Source organism: Homo sapiens, chromosome 22 (genome assembly GCF_000001405.40).
Source record: "Homo sapiens chromosome 22, GRCh38.p14 Primary Assembly".
NCBI lineage: Eukaryota > Metazoa > Chordata > Mammalia > Primates > Hominidae > Homo > Homo sapiens.
In genome coordinates, this window is record NC_000022.11 from 20,981,679 (window position 1) to 20,999,103 (window position 17,425).

The 17,425-nt window shown below is 58.5% G+C and overlaps 1 protein-coding gene across 1 annotated transcript, besides 3 other annotated features; it reads left to right on the forward strand.

Annotated features, from left to right (window-relative positions):
* Positions 67-146: an enhancer, noted in NCBI's record as "active region_18692". NCBI's record gives its function as "activates an Ori minimal core promoter by ATAC-STARR-seq in GM12878 lymphoblastoid cells {active_cell/tissue: GM12878}" and the evidence as "EXISTENCE:reporter gene assay evidence [ECO:0000049][PMID:35858748]".
* Positions 197-296: an enhancer, noted in NCBI's record as "active region_18693". NCBI's record gives its function as "activates an Ori minimal core promoter by ATAC-STARR-seq in GM12878 lymphoblastoid cells {active_cell/tissue: GM12878}" and the evidence as "EXISTENCE:reporter gene assay evidence [ECO:0000049][PMID:35858748]".
* LZTR1 (leucine zipper like post translational regulator 1) lies at positions 619-17,354 on the forward strand. Its single transcript, NM_006767.4, has 21 exons — positions 619-893; positions 1,349-1,411; positions 4,163-4,219; positions 5,826-5,905; positions 6,332-6,440; positions 7,111-7,194; positions 7,947-8,004; positions 8,708-8,847; positions 9,950-10,151; positions 10,536-10,691; positions 11,116-11,226; positions 11,984-12,076; positions 12,246-12,341; positions 12,426-12,591; positions 12,880-13,049; positions 13,192-13,348; positions 14,068-14,194; positions 14,285-14,434; positions 15,018-15,123; positions 15,208-15,288; positions 15,554-17,354. The coding sequence occupies exons 1-21, from the start codon at positions 694-696 to the stop codon at positions 15,668-15,670; spliced, it is 2,523 nt and encodes an 840-aa protein (NP_006758.2). The 5' UTR covers positions 619-693; the 3' UTR covers positions 15,671-17,354.
* Positions 687-816: a silencer, noted in NCBI's record as "silent region_13504". NCBI's record gives its function as "represses an Ori minimal core promoter by ATAC-STARR-seq in GM12878 lymphoblastoid cells {active_cell/tissue: GM12878}" and the evidence as "EXISTENCE:reporter gene assay evidence [ECO:0000049][PMID:35858748]".

A 17,425-nucleotide genomic window follows, 5' to 3' on the forward strand; every position in this document is an offset into this window, starting at 1 on the left:
AGGGCTGTGGGAGCTGTGTCCTGAGACAGACCCCATGCTTTTCATAGCCGGAGCATTCTCAATCCCCATGTCGGAGGTGAAGGAGCTGAGGCCCTGCTAAGTAGGAATGAGAATCCAGAGGCTCCTCGCCGGGCTGCCTCTCAGTCAGTAAGAAAGCCAAGGGGAGAGGGGAGTTGCTGGGGGTCAGGGCTGAGGGCGCTAGCAGGAAAGGGAGCGTTGAGCCGCCTGCAGAGGCCGCTGCGAGCCCGGAACCCTCCATGGGGGATCCCGGCAGCGGCAGACGATCCAGGCCGGAGCCACGCGCAGACCCAGGGCATGCCGGGAACTGCGAGCCGGCCGCGGGTCTTCGGGCTGCGTGGGCCTGGGAGGCGCCGGGAAGAGCAGTCGCGACGGGGCTAGGGACGACACACTGCATTCACTGGAAGGGACAACGCAGCGCCAGTACATAGCCTGAAACGCTCCCCAGAAGGTCCCACGCTCGCCGCGCGGTCGACAACCGCATCCTGCGCTCGCCCGCGGTGTCTCGGCAAGCGGTAGGCTTGTCGGGAAGAGCTGGAGGGCGCAAGTGCGGCGCTGGCCGGACGTGCCGCACCGTCAGCGCAGGGCTCGCCGGGAAATGTGGTTTCTCCAGCCGGCCCGGGGCGGTGGCCGCAAGTTGGGCTTACAGCGCGGCCGATCCGGCGTGGACCCGGGATGGCTGGACCGGGCAGCACGGGGGGGCAGATCGGGGCTGCGGCCCTGGCAGGCGGCGCGCGGTCCAAGGTAGCCCCGAGCGTGGACTTCGACCATAGCTGCTCGGACAGTGTCGAGTACCTGACGCTCAACTTCGGGCCCTTCGAAACAGTGCATCGCTGGCGGCGCCTCCCGCCCTGCGACGAGTTCGTGGGTGCCCGGTACGGTGGGCTTCATGGGGTCCTGAGGACAGGAAGGGCGATCTGCGAGGGTCCCAGGGCGGGTCCAGGGGCGAAGCCGGGGGGTGGTGTCCTGGGGTAGGATCTGGTAATGAGGTGGATGGTGCTGTACAGGACGCTGTTCAGGGCAGGGGAGAGGGTTCCGAGGGAGTCCCAGAGCCCGATGTCCCGGGACAGGGTACTGGAACTAAGTTGTGTTTGTGGATATTGGGCTGGGGTCCCAGGTGCTCTGAGGTGGGGTGAGGAGTCCAGAGAGTCCTGGAGCCGTGTCAGGGGTCCTCACTTGCAGGATGATTGGTGTTATCTTAGAAGATGATGGATCTTAGCAGTTGAGAGGTGATACCTAACTTCCGTGGCAGCTCTCCTGCTTAGTCCCATTCCTTGGGTGCCCCCCAGGAGGGTCCTGTCCTTACCGCCCTCCACTCCTTTCTTTCCAGGCGCAGCAAGCACACAGTGGTGGCCTATAAAGATGCCATTTATGTATTTGGTGGAGACAATGGGTGAGTGAGTCTCAGCATCAGTGTTTGGACCAGGTAGGGAGAAGTACTGTGGTCAGGGACTGGGCCTGTCCAGCTCCATTACTGTCCTTTCAGATGCTAGCTGGTGCCTCTAAGCTTCAGTTTCCCCATCTGTGAGATTCCTTGCACTCACCTCCCTGGTCGTGGTGAGGATTAAATGAGATCCTGCACTCATGGTCCTCAGCACAGCTTCCAGTGGGTGGCACATGCTCAGTATGTGGAAATGTCCCTCTTCTGAGTAGATGCAGCCTTGAAAGAAACACAACCACCCTTGCGGCCAGCCCTGCCAGGCACTTTTCTTTCCCTGTGCCTCATCGGTATGGAGGACACAGTTTTATTTATTTCATGCATTTTTCACTTTTTGTGGGGGTTTTCCCAAATTGCTCCAAACATCAGGCAACAACGTGATGTTTTGTTGGTGGGCACACCTCCTTTCACATAAACTGTCTCCACTTAAGTTGTGGCTGGTTTCCTTATGCAGAGGGTGGAGTATTTGCACATGACTAGTTGTGTCCATGTGTCCTAGCCCTGCCTCTCAGCCCCAGGAACTAGCATGAAGCCCTGGAAGGTCTGGCCTCTTACTGGCTCTGCAGCCTTGGTCCTGTAGGCCTCCTTGGGGGGCGGGCTTGAGGATGGTGGGGTAGTCTGGACCCCACCAGGATCTGCATACTGGGCAGAAGAGCCTCCTTGGGCATGGTCCCCTGGCTTCAAGCCTGTCTTCCTCCCACTCTCTTTCCCCAGGAGTAGCCGGTGGGGCCCATTTACAAAAGCAAGTCAGAGTATGCTCCTCCTTGGCTCATCCTCCTGTAATGCCTCCCTGCCTCTCTGAGTAAAAGCCCAAGTCCTCATGAGAGTCTGCTGCTCCTCTGCCCTCAGTCCCTCACTGCACTGGGGCGGCACGGGCTGCCTTGCTATGTTTGGATTGTACCAAGTGCCCCCCTGCTCAGGCCCTTGCACTGCCCATTCTCTCCTCTCACCTTCCTGCCCCTCCTCTGATGTTTCTTGTGACTGAGGCCTTACTTGGCCATCTGGACCAACTGGAGACCATTGCTTCCCCTCCATACCTCTTACCATCTTCATTTGTTCCTGAGGCACACAGATGTTGGTTATTATCCATCTCTTCAGTCAAGGCAGGGCCTGTGCTCCTTTTACCATTGTATCCTGGCATCTAGAAAACTCCATAAATGTTTGTCAAATGAAGGAATGAAATGAAGAAGAGATGCCTACCCACAAGCATTTACTGCAGCCTTAATGAGAACCCTCCAAACCAGAAAGGGCTTTAGTGTCCAGTACAAGGCAGCAAGTGGGAAATGGGGGACCTTCATCCTCAAGAGTGTCCTTAGCAGGTAGTTTGTGTGACAACTGTGTAGCAATAAGCAGAAACATTTTTGCTGCAGTATGACAAAGAAATAGGATACAAATTTGTCTCACACTAGTCTTAACTTTATAAAGACTGCCTGAGTACAAAGAAAGATGGCCTCCTGCGGCACGTGGGGCAAGTAAGGAGGGGGGGGGGGCGGTATCACAATCACCACCAGCTTCTAGGCTCCTGGCTTCCTGGCTGCATGGCCTCAGACACAGCCTTTGAGCCACTAGGCTTTGTTGCCATCTGTGAAATGGAGGTGAGAGAGCACCCACTGGTGCAGACTAAGTGAGACCGTTCAGGGGGCACCCAGCACAGGCTGGGCATGACGGGGCACTGGGCTCCTGTCAGTTTGCCCTTCTTCCCAAGGGCTGGGTAGTGATATGCCAGCTGGTAGTGTTAGGTGGTGCAATGGCCAGTGAATTTGTTTTCTATTTGATTGTATGGCTTTTGCAACAAAGAAATGGCAGGGGCCAGGTGCAGTGGCTCACACCTGTAATCCCAGCACTTTGGGAGGCTGAGGTGGGAAGATCACTTGAGGCCAGGCATTCAAGACGAGCCTGGGCAGGAAAGCAAGACTTCGTTTCTATTTTTTTTTTTTTTTTTTTGAGATGGAGTCTTGCTCTGTCACCCAGGCTGGTGTTCAGTGGCGCCATCTTGGCTCACTGCAACCTCTGCCTCCCGGGTTCAAGCGATTCTGCCGCAGCCTCCCGAGTAGCTGGGATTACAGGCGCCTGCCACCATGCCAGGCTAATTTTTTTGTATTTTTAGTAGAGATGGGGTTTCACCATGTTGGCCAGGCTGGTCTCAATCTCCTGACCTCAAGTGATCCGCCCGCCTAGGCTTCCCAAAGTGCTGGGATTACAGGCGTGAGCCACCGAGCCCAGCCCATTGTCTCTATTTCTTTTTTTTAAGAAGTGGCAGGAAGATCAGAGAGAAGCAAAGGGCCTCTCCTGAGGCACGGGCAAGCACTTGCATTGCAGGGTACAGCTGCAGAGGAAGGGGATTGGGACGTGTGAATAGGGGTTCTGGAGGCTAGGGTGAGGTGTGAGGGTGACTCTGGCCTTTGGGCCATTTCATGCCTTCATGTCAGCTGCTGGTTGGGCTCCTGGTGGCCACATTCATGCTTTGGTCCTGACCCCAGGCAGGCTGGTGTCTGCCTGTGTGGCAGCCCTGGTGCCCATATCAGTTGGGGAGCCTCCTTTGTGGTCACCACTCTTGTTCTTGGGCATCAGCTGGTTGCCTGGCTGTGTTAGTGACCCAGCCCACAACAGCCCCCTACTCTACCCTGGCTACATGCAGTGCCCATCTCTGGGGTCACTGCAGAGTAGACCTGGCTAATGCCACCCTCTCTTCCGGCTGCCTTTCAGGAAGACCATGCTCAATGACCTCCTGCGGTTCGATGTGAAAGACTGCTCCTGGTGCAGGTGGGTGGCCCCGTGCTCCAGGGCCCTGCCTTTCCTCCTAGAACACAGTGGCACAGTGCTGGGTCCCAGTTGCTAGCAGAGTCTCTCTCATCATGGGAAGCTAGAAAGAAGCTTCCAGGAGGAGATAACCACGGCCTCAGGGATGCCACATCCAGAGCCGCCCTGTCAGGCTGAGGAGATCAAGTAACCACCCCGCACCTGCAGCTGCCAAGCTGGGCACACAGGGCGGCACCCTTCTGGGCTGTCCACCTCTACCTCGAGGCTGATGCTAGTATGGGTACAGAAGTTGCTATGTCTTTTCTCTCACACTTGATTTTGTAAGATGGCTAGTAGTTACAAATTAATTTAAAAAATCATTCTGAAGGCTTCACAATTATTTGTCAAAAATTGCTTAAGTATAAAACTCAGAAAAAAGCTAGGAGTTCAAGACCAGCTGGGCAACAAAGTGAGACCCTGTCTAGGAAGATAGATAGACAGATGATAGATAGATAGATAGATAGATAGATAGATAGATAGATAGAAAGAAAGATAGATAGATGATAGAAAGACAAAGAGAGATGATAGATAGATGATAGGTAGATTAGACAGATAGATGACAGATAGATAGATAGTGGATAGATGATAGATGACAGATCGATAGATAGATGATAGGTAGATGATAGGTAGGTAGATTAGATAGATGATGGGTAGATAGATGACAGACAATAGATGATAGATGATAGGTAGATAGATGATAGATGACAGATAGATGATGGATAGATTATATAGGTAGATGATAGGTGGATAGATGATGGATATATAGATTATATAGATTAGATGATTGATAGATGATAGGTAGATAGATAGATGATGGTTAGATAGATAGGTATTAAATGAAATTGATGGACCCCGTGCTGTAAGATGCTGCACTGCTGCTGAGAGCAGGAGTGTGGATGGTCCTGGAGTAGCATGAGGACCTGGTCACATTCTGTGAGTGGAATAAGCAATTTACAAAATATCTGCCACTTGATTCCATTTTAAAAAATTTCATGGAAGCCTAAGTATGCGTAGGAGAGGTGTGCAGGGAAGACCTCAAGGTGTTGCCAGAGGTTTTCTGGTAATGGGAATTTGCATGAGCTTTAGTGCCTATTTTGTTTTTTCCTTATTGGTGATTTTTTTTTTTTAAGTTTCTATGATGAGACAGGTATCACCTTCAAAATACAAAAGTGAAACGTAGCTGGGCGCGGTGGCTCACGCCTGTAATCCCAGCACTTTGGGAGGCTGAGGTGGGCGGATCACCTGAGGTCAGAACTTCAAGACCAGCCTGGCCAACATGGTGAAACCCCGTCTCTACAAAAATACAAAAAATTAGCTGGGCATGATGGTGGGTGCCTGTAATCCCAGCTACTCAGGAGGCTGAGGCAGGACAATCGCTTGAACCCAGGAGGTGGAGGTTGAGCCGGGATCGTGCCACTGCACTCCAGCCGGGACGACAGAGAGAGACTCCGTCTCAAAAAAAAAAAAAAAGAAAAAAGAAAGGCAGCACAGGGATGCAGGGCCACCCTGTGGGGGTGTGGACCTCATGGGTGACCCCCGCTGACTCTCACCACCCCTGTGCCCACCCCAGGGCCTTTACCACTGGGACCCCACCGGCCCCCCGTTACCACCACTCGGCCGTCGTCTATGGGAGCAGCATGTTTGTCTTTGGTAAGCAGCCTCTTGCCTCCCAGGGGCTGTGTCGCCCCGAGGCCCACAGACACCCTGCCCTTCTGCAGGCCTGGGGCATTTGTGCTCGTGCTGTGTACAGCAGGGGCTCTCTCTCCACCCGTGGCTTTGTCTGCCAGTCTTCGGAATTCTGCGCTGGATCTGGGACCCCTTGCCCTAACGGCCCTGAGCTCACAGGGTTGGGTGTCTTTCTGTGTTACTGAGCTGTGGCTGGGAACAGTGTCCTGCTCATCTCTGTGTCCCCAGAGCCCAGCACAGAGGCAGACAGGCAGCAGGTCGTTCCGGGGCTTGTGGAAGGAGTCCTGGCTTATGCATTTTCAGGGGGGCCAGATTCTGCTCCACCTTCCAGGGTTTGAAATCTCCAAGACTGCCCTTTGGGTTTGACAGTTTCTCACTCTCTTTACTCAGGGGGTTACACTGGGGACATTTATTCCAATTCTAACTTGAAGAATAAAAACGACCTCTTTGAATACAAGTTTGCAACTGGCCAGTGGACGGAGTGGAAAATTGAAGGACGGTGAGAAACTTTGCAGAAACATTTGGGACAGGCTGGGTCCTGGGTGGCATTGGACCTGGGATCTGCCCCCTTTTGCCTCCCAGATGAGGACCCTGAGGGCACGCAATAGCAGGGAGCTTGGGATTGGTGGAATATCCCCCGGTGCAGCTATGCATGGCCTGCTCCCAGCCCTTAGACTCCCTCCTTTCAGAAGAGACCCAAATGGACCAGGCGTGGTGGCGCATGCCTGTAGTCCTAGTACTTTGGGAAGCCGAGGTGGGAAGATCACTTGAGCCCATGACTTCAAGGCTGCAGTGAACCATGTGTGCCCCACTGCACTCCAGCCTGGGAGACAGAACAAGACCTTGTCACAAAAAAATGTTCAATAAGATCCAATGTACTGCTGATGGCGCTTCTGGGGTCCCGCTTTTTGAGCACCCCCTTTGATATTTTGGGGGCACCTAGGAGAAGGTTCTGTGCCTCTGTGGCTGTCTGAATTCCTCTTCAAGCCACTAGTCGGCCTCTGGGGCTGTTGTTTATTCCTAGTGCCTTGTGGAGGTCCTGAAGCCCCAGTGTCGGGTGGATGTAGCCATGCAGCCTGGCTGTGGCCCCTGCACTGACCACATGGGGCTGGGTGGCTCAGGTCTGTGCTGGGCGGCCTCACTCCCTCCCCTCTTCCCTCACACTCCAGGTTGCCAGTCGCTAGGTCAGCCCATGGGGCCACGGTGTACAGTGACAAGCTGTGGATCTTTGCTGGCTATGACGGCAACGCCAGGTGGGTGGTGGTCCGGCCTGTGCACCCCACCTCCGACAGCACTGAGACCCGGAGCAGGCCGTCCTGGCATTTGAGGGCTTAGGCTGGGAGGATTTTGAGTGCCTGGTGGATTTTGAGTGCCACTCTGTCTGGGGGTTTCTTGGGAGGGGGATGGGGAAAGAGGAGGATGGACAGATGGAGGTGAGGGCCACTGGGTGGAGCCCCGTGGCTACCAGAGTAGCTTGGATGAGGATCCTCAGCCAGGAGTTGCCCTGCGGAGCTGAGTTGGTGGGCGGGTGGGCGGTGCCCAGGCTCAGGCCCAGCCCTGGTTCTTGCCCAGGCCAAAGGCCTTTTCCTCCTTATTTTAGAAAGTTGGCTTTGCTCTCTTTTTCTGATCACAAAAGTAGCATATGCTGGTTTCCCAAAACTTCAGCATCATAGAAACTCCTAACGATGCAGTGATGGTGGCATCTGGGATATCTGTGTCCTCTCCCCACCCAGGAGGGACACTGAGTGAGGAGCTGGCACTGCCACACTGCCCTGATGTCATGCATGAGAGTACTTGTTCTGTCTGGGCCGGGCAGGGGGCCTGGCACAGCAGGGATTTGAGGCAGTGGCTGCCACCCCACACAGAAGTTCCCGCCTCATGGCCGCACAAGTCTCCTACCCTGTGTGGGGGTGGGGCTCCTCCCTGCAGCCATCCCTTCCAGCCAGGACTAGGCCCACCCTGACCACCAGACCCAAGGGGTCCTCACTGGTCTGTCCTAATACAGGTTGAATGACATGTGGACAATTGGCCTCCAGGACCGAGAGCTCACCTGCTGGGAGGAGGTGAGGGGCGTGGGGAGCCAGGGCGCAGGTAGAGGAGGTGAGGGGCACGGGGAGCCAGGGCGCAGGTGGAGGAGGTGAGGGGCATGGGGAGACAGGGTGCAGGTGGAGGGAGGTGGGAGGCAGGGGGAGCCAGGCTGGGGGTCGAGGCTGCTTTCTTCCCCTTGCAAAGCCCAGCCTCGACCTGAGCCTCGCTCTCCTCCCTGGTGACCTGCGGGCCTTCACGACCAGTTCCTCACTGTGGCTGCACAGTGATTCGAGGTTTGGTGCTTTGGATGGGCAGAGTGCCACGTGTGTGAGGATGTGGTTTTGCTTTAACGCACCCTTTATTTCAGTGCAGTGAGGGCCGTCTGCTATCCAGTGTCCTGCTCCCTGGAGCTCCCCCTGGGCTTGCTTTCCCCTTTAGAAACATGGAATTTATTTATTTATTCATTAAAAAAAATTGTTTTTCAGTCTTCTGGGCATGAAAAACATGAGTTTAGCCCCTGATGATTTAACCCTGACGATTTTAACCCCAGCTGTTCACAACTGGGCCCCGTGAAGTGGATGAGACAGGGCTATGAGCTGTTCCAAGACAAAGGAATCTGTGAATCCTCATCTGGGGAAGTTTCAAGAATAAAAGCAGTCCCATCTCAGCAGTCTCGAGTGTGGTGAAATGTGAGCGGGCCCTGTGAGGCCGGGGCTGAGCTGTCCTCTCCCCCTGCAGGTGGCCCAGAGTGGCGAGATCCCCCCATCTTGCTGCAACTTCCCCGTGGCTGTGTGCCGGGACAAGATGTTTGTATTCTCTGGGCAAAGCGGAGCCAAAATAACCAACAACCTCTTCCAGTTTGAATTCAAGGACAAGACGTGAGTACTCTGGCCAGTGGGGTGGAGGGAGGACGGTCAGTTCCCTCGAATCCTTCTGAATATGAAGAACGCCTCTTGCACCTGGTGGCCATGGTAACCATCCTTGTGAGCTCTGCAAACAGCAGGAGGTTACAGCCCGGAGCAGGGATGTGCGGTGCCCCTGGCAGGTCCCCAGGATATGGCTACAGCTTAGCAAGATAAGGCCTGGCGAGGAGGCCCCTGGCTAGGCCTCCCTCTGAACGTGAAGGACGTCCCCTTCCTCGTGAATAGCTTGGTCAGTGCCACCAGTAACAGACGTGGCCTGCATAGATCTCAAATAATGGCAGAAGACCAGAGGGGCCTGCAGGTCCTGAGAGGTCTGGCCCATGCTGCCCCTGGCTGCTGGCCAGCCCTTGATCCCTGCAATGGGGCTGCAGGAGAGGGCACAAGGAGTGTGAGCTGCAGGTACAGGGGGTTTGGGAAGGGACTTGGGAGCTTCCCTGGAGGCCACGGGTGCGTGGGAGGAAGGGCAGGGAGCCCCAGGATGAGGGAAATTGTCAAGGGCCTGGGGCTCAGCATGGAGCCAGATGGCATAGCCCTGCCAGGCCAGGATCTGTTCTGAAGTCTTCAGCTAACTTAGCAAAAGAGAGGACTTGCTGGGAGGTACTGGGAAGCCTGGGAGGTGGAAGGTGCTGGGGCAGCATCAGGATGTGGGGTACAGGCAGCTCCCAGGATGGGGACTCAGCTGTGGGGATGCTCTGACTGGGCAGCGTGAACACAGTGACCTGCAATGGTCTCTGCACAACTTTACTCCCCAGAGAGCAGGACTGCCTGGGCGGGTCAGATGCCACCCTCCTGCCCATCACTGCTGCCTGCTCCATGGGGAGAGGGGGGAGCTCTGGCAGGACCCTGCGGTGGGCCACATGGAGCCAGGCAGGGCTGGTGCCCGTGCTGGATGGGGTGAGAGGTGCTCAGCGCAGGTGTCTAGGCCCTCCCTCTGGACCCTGGGCTAGTCACCGTAAGGGATGCAGGGGGACCTCCCAGTGAAGGCCTGCTGTGGGGAGGCCCCGAGGGTGAGCAGGAGCCCCTGTCCCAGCATTGATTCACTGTTGTGTACCCCCAGGTGGACACGCATCCCAACTGAACACCTGCTCCGGGGCTCCCCACCACCCCCGCAGCGGCGCTACGGGCATACCATGGTGGCCTTTGACCGCCACCTCTATGTGTTTGGGGGTGCGGCCGACAACACGCTGCCCAACGAGCTGCACTGCTATGACGTGGACTTCCAGACCTGGGAGGTCGTCCAGCCCAGCTCCGACAGCGAGGTGAGGGTGCCCAGGGGTGTCCTGACCTGCCAGCTGGACACCAGTAGCTCCTACCCTGCTCCCACCCAGCTCCTCACAGCTTTGGGGCCCCCTGGGGTTCCAGACAGCTACCAGGAGCAAGGCCAGGACACCTGGGCCTCAGCCCTGGACACCTGCCCCGGCCTCCAGCCCCAGCTTCACCCCACAGCCTGCAGGTAGTTAACGCTTCACACCCCATCATGGCTGCATGGGGCTGCTGTGCTGCAGACCTTTCCTGGGAAGCCCACGGCCATGCAGCTCTTCCTTCTTTCAGAACCCACTCTCAAGGCCAGGATGGTGGGGGTCTCTGGGCACCTACCTGGCCCTTGCCAACTGGTCTCATGCCCATGTGTCTCCCCTCTTCAGGTTGGTGGGGCTGAAGTGCCCGAGCGAGCCTGTGCTTCCGAGGAGGTGCCCACCCTGACCTATGAGGAGCGGGTTGGCTTCAAGAAGTCCCGAGATGTGTTTGGCCTGGACTTTGGCACCACCTCAGCCAAGCAGCCCACCCAGCCTGCCTCGGAGGTACAGGCTGGGATCCTCATTAAGACTCCATCACCCCCTGAAACAGGTCCTGTGATCAACACCTCTCACACATGGGGAGACTGAGGCCCCGAGAAATACTTGCTTGGGGTCACACCACAAAGGGGGTACAGGGCCAAGGGCCCTCACCCTGCTGGCCAGGCTGCAGCTTTCTGGGGTGGGTGCCACACACTGGCCCAAGTGCCCTGACCACTCTGAGGGTCTCCATGGCCCGTCATGCCCCACTCGCCTACATGGGTACCAGGTCCCACCTGTGTCTGTACCCAGGGGCCCTCATCCCTTGGGGACCCTGCCCCCTGGCCCTTCATGGCCATGAGGTGCCGCATCCTTGCCTTACCTGGCTGCACCAGCCGCACTGTGGAGGCTCTGCTCCCCCACCATTCCACCCTGCCTTCTTGTCCCCCAGCTGCCCAGTGGGAGGCTCTTCCACGCGGCTGCTGTCATCTCGGACGCCATGTACATCTTCGGGGGCACGGTGGACAACAACATCCGCAGCGGGGAGATGTACAGGTTCCAGGTGTGGGGCCTGTGGGCCTGTAGAGCCGGCTGGGTGGACGGATCCCCCGTGATGAGAAACTGAGGCCAAGTTGGGGGGCAGGGCTTATCCAGGCCATTGCCAGGGCCACACCTGGCAGGATGGAAGCCTTGGGAGGAGCCCTGTGGGCTGAGGGTGGGCTGAGGTGGCACTAAAGTGGGCAGCCTTCGTGCAGTGGGGCAGGCAGATGGTGCTGGGGCTCACGGCAGAGTCAGTGGAGGGAGCCGGGCCAAGCTGGGCTCAGCACCAGAGCCTCACAGGCATCATAGCCTGGCCCAGGGCAGAGCCAGGGCCGACAGTGGCTTGCGTTGACAGCCCCTTCCCAGGCCTGGAGGAGCAGGTGGTCAGGGCAGGGACTCACAGCCACAGTGAGGTCAGGGCCAGCTTCCTGGAGGAGGTTGGGATGTGCTGGTGGGGGCCAGTGTGAGGACGCAGGTCCAGGCAGAGTGGAGACGGCAGAGCTCTGCTGAGGCCTGGGGCCCAGCCGAAGGCAAGAGAGGCAGGGGAGCCCTTTCCTGCTGTGGAGCCGGCCGTGGACAGTTGCAGGTGCTGAGGCTGGAGCCAGGCTGTATTTTCAGGGTGGGGTAGCGGCTGCTTCCTCTCCTCAGCCAGGCCCACCTGCCTCCTGGGCCCTGAGGGTCAGCATGGGCCAGGTGGGGACCTCAGGGTCGGCCTGCACAGCCACACTGGGGCCACCCTGCTGTCTGCAACATCTAGTCTCACTGGGCCCCTCTTGCAGTTCTCCTGTTACCCTAAATGCACGCTGCACGAGGACTACGGGCGGCTGTGGGAGAGCCGCCAGTTCTGCGACGTGGAGTTCGTGCTGGGTGAGGTGGGTGCCTGTCCTCGCACCCTGCTCTGCCTGCTGTGCCTGGGCAGTGGGAATTTCGCCCCTCAGAAAAACAGCTGCTGGCCTGGTGGTGCTGACCTTGGCTGGCTGGGTCTCTGTTCTCTGGGGCGAGGGTCCTGTGCCCTCTGCCAGTGCATCATTCTTTGTGCAGAAGGAGGAGTGCGTGCAGGGCCACGTAGCCATTGTCACAGCGCGGAGCCGCTGGCTTCGCAGGAAGATCACGCAGGCGCGGGAGAGGCTGGCCCAGGTGAGGTGCCTAACCGCCCTGCCCTGACCTGGCAGCCATGCCTGGTGTCCACTGGGGTGTCCTTGAGCTCCCTTCTCCCCACAGAAGCTGGAGCAGGAGGCCGCCCCAGTTCCCAGGGAGGCCCCCGGCGTGGCTGCTGGTGGGGCCCGGCCGCCCCTGCTGCACGTGGCCATCCGGGAGGCCGAGGCCCGGCCCTTCGAGGTGCTCATGCAGTTCCTCTACACCGACAAGATCAAATACCCACGGAAAGGTCCGCCTGGGTGGGGGTGGAGCAGGGTTGGTGTGGGCTGGGGTGCGGGCAGCAGAGCCAAAAGGTGGGTGCTGCCAGCCCTGCCTTACTGATGGGCCCCCTGAGGCTCAGAGGCTGCAGGTCACCCTCCTTACCCATGATCACTGCAGCTGGACGCCATCTGAGTCCCCCGAGGCCTTGTTCCTACCTAGTGGCCCCAGCCCACACTCTTCCATGGGGGGAGCCCTGCGCCCTGTGCCCTGCCCTCCCCTCTCCGGCTCCCTGAGATTCGGGGGCTCTGGGGCGCAGGCCATGTGGAGGATGTGCTGCTCATCATGGATGTGTACAAACTGGCACTGAGCTTCCAGTTGTGCCGCCTGGAGCAGCTGTGCCGCCAGTACATCGAGGCCTCCGTGGACCTGCAGAACGTGCTGGTTGTGTGCGAGAGTGCCGCCCGGCTGCAGCTGAGCCAACTCAAGGTGTGGGGTGGGGTCAGCGCAATCAGGGTTGGGTGGGGTGTGCTCAGGCTTAGGCCCCCTCCCTGCCCACCACTGTGAGCCCCTCGCCCAGCCTGGGGCCCTGGCTTGACTCTGCCTGCCTGCCTGTGCCTGTCTGCCCCAGGAGCACTGCCTGAACTTCGTGGTAAAGGAGTCCCACTTCAACCAGGTGATCATGATGAAGGAGTTCGAGCGCCTCTCCTCTCCACTGATAGTGGAGATTGTGCGGCGGAAGCAGCAGCCGCCCCCTCGCACTCCCTTGGACCAGCCAGTGGACATTGGTAGGGAGCCCCGTTCCCCTTCCCTGGGGGCTGGGAGGGATGGTGTTCATCTGCGGTAGGAGATTGGGAGCCATGGAGAGCACCTGCCAGGCCCTCGGGGTGGGGGTGGGTGCCATGGGACCCCAGAGTGCTCTCCTGGGTACAGGGAGGAAACAGATGAAGGCAGAAGCCCCCGACCCATGGGGCTTGCCACAGTGGGCTGTGTCCTGGTGACCTGGGATTTCCTGAGCCAATTTCTGGGGGTGGACATGGGGCACCTCTTTCGGGCTAGGATGTCAGGTCTGATGGCCCAGGGTCACGGTGATCAGTCTCTGGACTTCTCTTTGCTTGTAATGTCACAGGCCCCTTCATTCCCCCAGCTCTCCCTGGGGCTTGTGCTGACCCCGGTTGCTGGCTCTTGGTGATGTCTGCAGGCACCAGAGGCCATGCAGTGGGCCTGGAGGGGGCTTGATCATGAGGTCAGCGAGGGGGTACAGCAAGCTGGGTGGAAGATGAGACGCTGGGTGGTGGGCTGTGCGTGGGGCATAGTGCTTGAGTCGGCCAGGGCGCCGAGGGAGGACAGAATGTGGCTGATGGTACCTCAGGGCGAGTGAGGCCTTCTGCCTGGGTGAAGTTTTGTTCAGGGCAGCAACATGGGCAGATATGCAGGAAGGTAGTGCCGTGGGGCCCCAAGGCCAGAATCCCAGGCTGTACCTGCTCAGGGACCCTCCTACCCCCAGGCACATCTCTGATCCAGGACATGAAGGCATACCTGGAGGGAGCGGGCGCGGAATTCTGTGACATCACTCTGTTGCTTGACGGGCACCCACGGCCAGCCCACAAGGCTATCCTGGCCGCCCGCTCCAGGTGGGTGGGGGCTGGACAGGAGGGGAGGGTGGGCCTGGATGGTGTCTTCGTTCTGCTGACGGCCAGGTGCCTACCGCTCGTTGTCTGCAGCTACTTTGAAGCCATGTTCCGGTCCTTCATGCCCGAAGATGGGCAGGTGAACATCTCCATCGGGGAGATGGTGCCCAGCAGGCAGGCCTTCGAGTCCATGCTGCGCTACATCTACTACGGCGAGGTCAACATGCCGCCCGAGGACTCGCTGCATCCTCACTCCCCAGTGAACTCCCAGGTCCCCACCAAGGGGTCCTGGCACCCACCTCAGGTGGCTTTGAGGCCCGCTCTCCTGCCCCAGCTAGGTGATCTGGGCCCAGCGCCTCCCTCCAGAGGGTTTGCTGGTGCCTGGGGCTGGGCCTGGTGCTCTCTGAAGCAGTTGGCAGCTGGCAAGGAGGGGTTTGCAGCCAGGAGGAACCAGTGGGTTCCTGACCCTCACAACTGCCCAGAGGACGGGGTGGGTCATTGCTTTGTGTGACAGTTGAGCACAGACATGGAGGTACTCCTTATGTCACTTCAGTAGGGGTCTGAACATGGAGGGTCAGGATGCCTGTTAGGCCTGCAAGGCCATGGAACAGCGCTACAGATGTACAGACACTATTTTTCTCGGGAGGGGATTCATGGTTTTCTTTGGATCCTGAATGGGGCCTTTGACCCACTAAGTAGTTCAGAATCCATTTGGAGAGCATGCTGGCGTGGGGGCTTGGGGCTCCAGCTGCGCCCTTCCCTGTCCTTCCCTGGGAGGGTGCGGGCGGACCAGCTTCCTTTAGTCAGCTCCTTAACCAGGCCCCAGCTACTTGTTTGCGGCCCCCTACTACTACGGCTTCTACAACAACCGGCTGCAGGCGTACTGCAAGCAGAACCTGGAGATGAACGTGACGGTGCAGAACGTGCTGCAGGTAGCCCCCCAGCCCCGTGCACATGGCTGCAGCTCCCACTGAGTGGGTGAAAGGGGCAGCGCCTCAAGGTCCCTGCCATTGCAGATCCTGGAGGCAGCTGACAAAACGCAGGCACTGGACATGAAGCGGCACTGCCTGCACATCATTGTGCACCAGTTCACCAAGGTCAGGGCTCTGGCCTCCCCTTCAGGACTCGCTTCCCCTTGGCAGTGGCCATGCCCAGGCAGGGAGGGTGCCCAGGCTCTGTGGTCCCCTGCAGTGGTGGGCCCTGGGGGTGAGAGAAGCAGAGCAGCCCATCACTGGCCGCACCTTGCTTCATCCTTGGGACCAGCCTGAGCCCTGAGCAGGGTAGGCCCCACAGGGCTCCACTGCCCACCATGGCCCTTAGGTGGATCTGGTCCCATCTCCTTCCGGCCTGCTTGCCTTACAGGTCTCCAAGTTGCCCACCCTGCGGTCGCTGAGCCAGCAGCTGCTGCTGGACATCATAGACTCCCTGGCCTCCCACATCTCAGACAAGCAGTGCGCAGAGCTGGGCGCCGACATCTGAGGCCCTGTGGCGCCTGCCCATTGTGAAGAATCGCCGTGCCTGCCTGCCCTGCCTACTGAGAAGACTACCGGCTATGCGCATGCCTATGGCAGTGGGTGCACCTGCCAGGCCAAGGGTCAGGGTGCCCAGAGCCTCCAAAGAGAGCTGAGGGGATGTGGGGCCCCAAACTCATTAATTCACTGAAGACACAGGTCCCACAGGGAGCGGATGATGAAGCAGACCCCCTCCTGTCATCACCCTCTCCTGGTGTAGTGTGGATGCGAGGCCACGGCTCAGTGATGGGCTCACCACCCAGAAGTGGGGAGAGACTTTGGGCCTCCCACCCAGTGGGGCTTGGCCTGGCTTCTGTGGCCTGGGCGTGTTGTGGACTCAGGCACTGGGGCCTGTCACCAAGGCTCCTCCAACATGCGGGAGGAGGCTTAGCAGACTTGCGCTGCACCAGCGAATCTGCCTGGGCTGCTCCTGTCCCACCCACCCTCACTGAGATCCATGTAAGGGGCTCCTCTTCCCACCTGGAACTTGTGAGTGGGGACCCATGATGTATGGGTCTCACCTGACTTGAGGTGAATTTTGGAGTGAAGGGCCCTGAGGTCAGCTCCCAGGTCGGTCGTGCTGGGCCAGGCCTGGTTTTCACAGGGGCTGAAGGATCCCAGTCCACCTGTGTGCATGTCAGGGCTCGGCCGGGAAGAAGCCAGCAAAGTCCCCCGTGTCCCTTGCTGAGTATTCTGTCACAGACAAGCCTCCATTAAAGCCACAGCAGTGCTACCCACCACACACACCTTGCTGGCCCGGCCACCACTGCTGGCTTCAGCCCCTTGAGCAGCCCATGGCTTAGCAGACCCCCAGATGTAGGTCAGTGGCCTTACCTGTCTCTATCCATGCTGTCAACTCCTGCCTCCACCTGGGGTCACCCAGTCACATTGGGAAGGGCTGTGAAGGCCTCCAGGCTGGCCCCTTCCAGGGGAATCCTGGAGGCCTGGGGTGGGCTCCTGCCCCTTCTGCCCTGCCTTGCCCCTGCACTATGCTCTTGGCTCCTGTGGAAGGAGGGCTGCCCTCTTGCCCTAGTGAGGGCCCCATGTGGATCCACTCTAGTGCTGGGAGCCAGCGCTCCCTTACTGGGAACAGGATTCCAGGACCCCTTTCTTGTTGTGGCTGCCATGAAGCCACAGCTCCTTGGGGAAGTGACCTGCTCTCCTTTGGGTGTATGCAGGTGTGTGGGGGGCCCTGAGTGGCAAGTTGCTTAGCTAACAGGAGATCCATAGGCAGCCTGCAGGCTAGGAAGTGGCCTAGTGCAAGATGAGCTGGGAACAAGGGAGGAGAGAGCAGGAGCTGGGGCAGAGGCTGAGCCGGGAGGCCCTTGAGGTGAGGACACAGCAGGCCCAGGACCATGGCTGGGGAGGATATGTCAGCACCTGGAAGTGGAGTGCAGGCTGCAGCGCCCAGCCATGTGGGCCAGGTGCATTCACTCAGAGTGGGGCCACACACCCATCTACCCAGTTTCCACAAGATGTGGCTCCTGCCACACCCACAGGGCAGCCTCCTCCAAATCCCTCCTGGAGGGGCCTACCCAGAAGCCTCCTTGAACCAGTCTGCAACCCTGCTCTATGCTGACCCTTGTCACTGAACCCTGATCTAGACTTATATGAATAAATGAAATTACATGCCAAGGGCCCTAAAAAGCAAATTTTACGAAATTGTGTGGCAGTTTCTGGGACTAGAATGAATTTCATTTGTGCTCCTCGGCAGGGAGAGGCC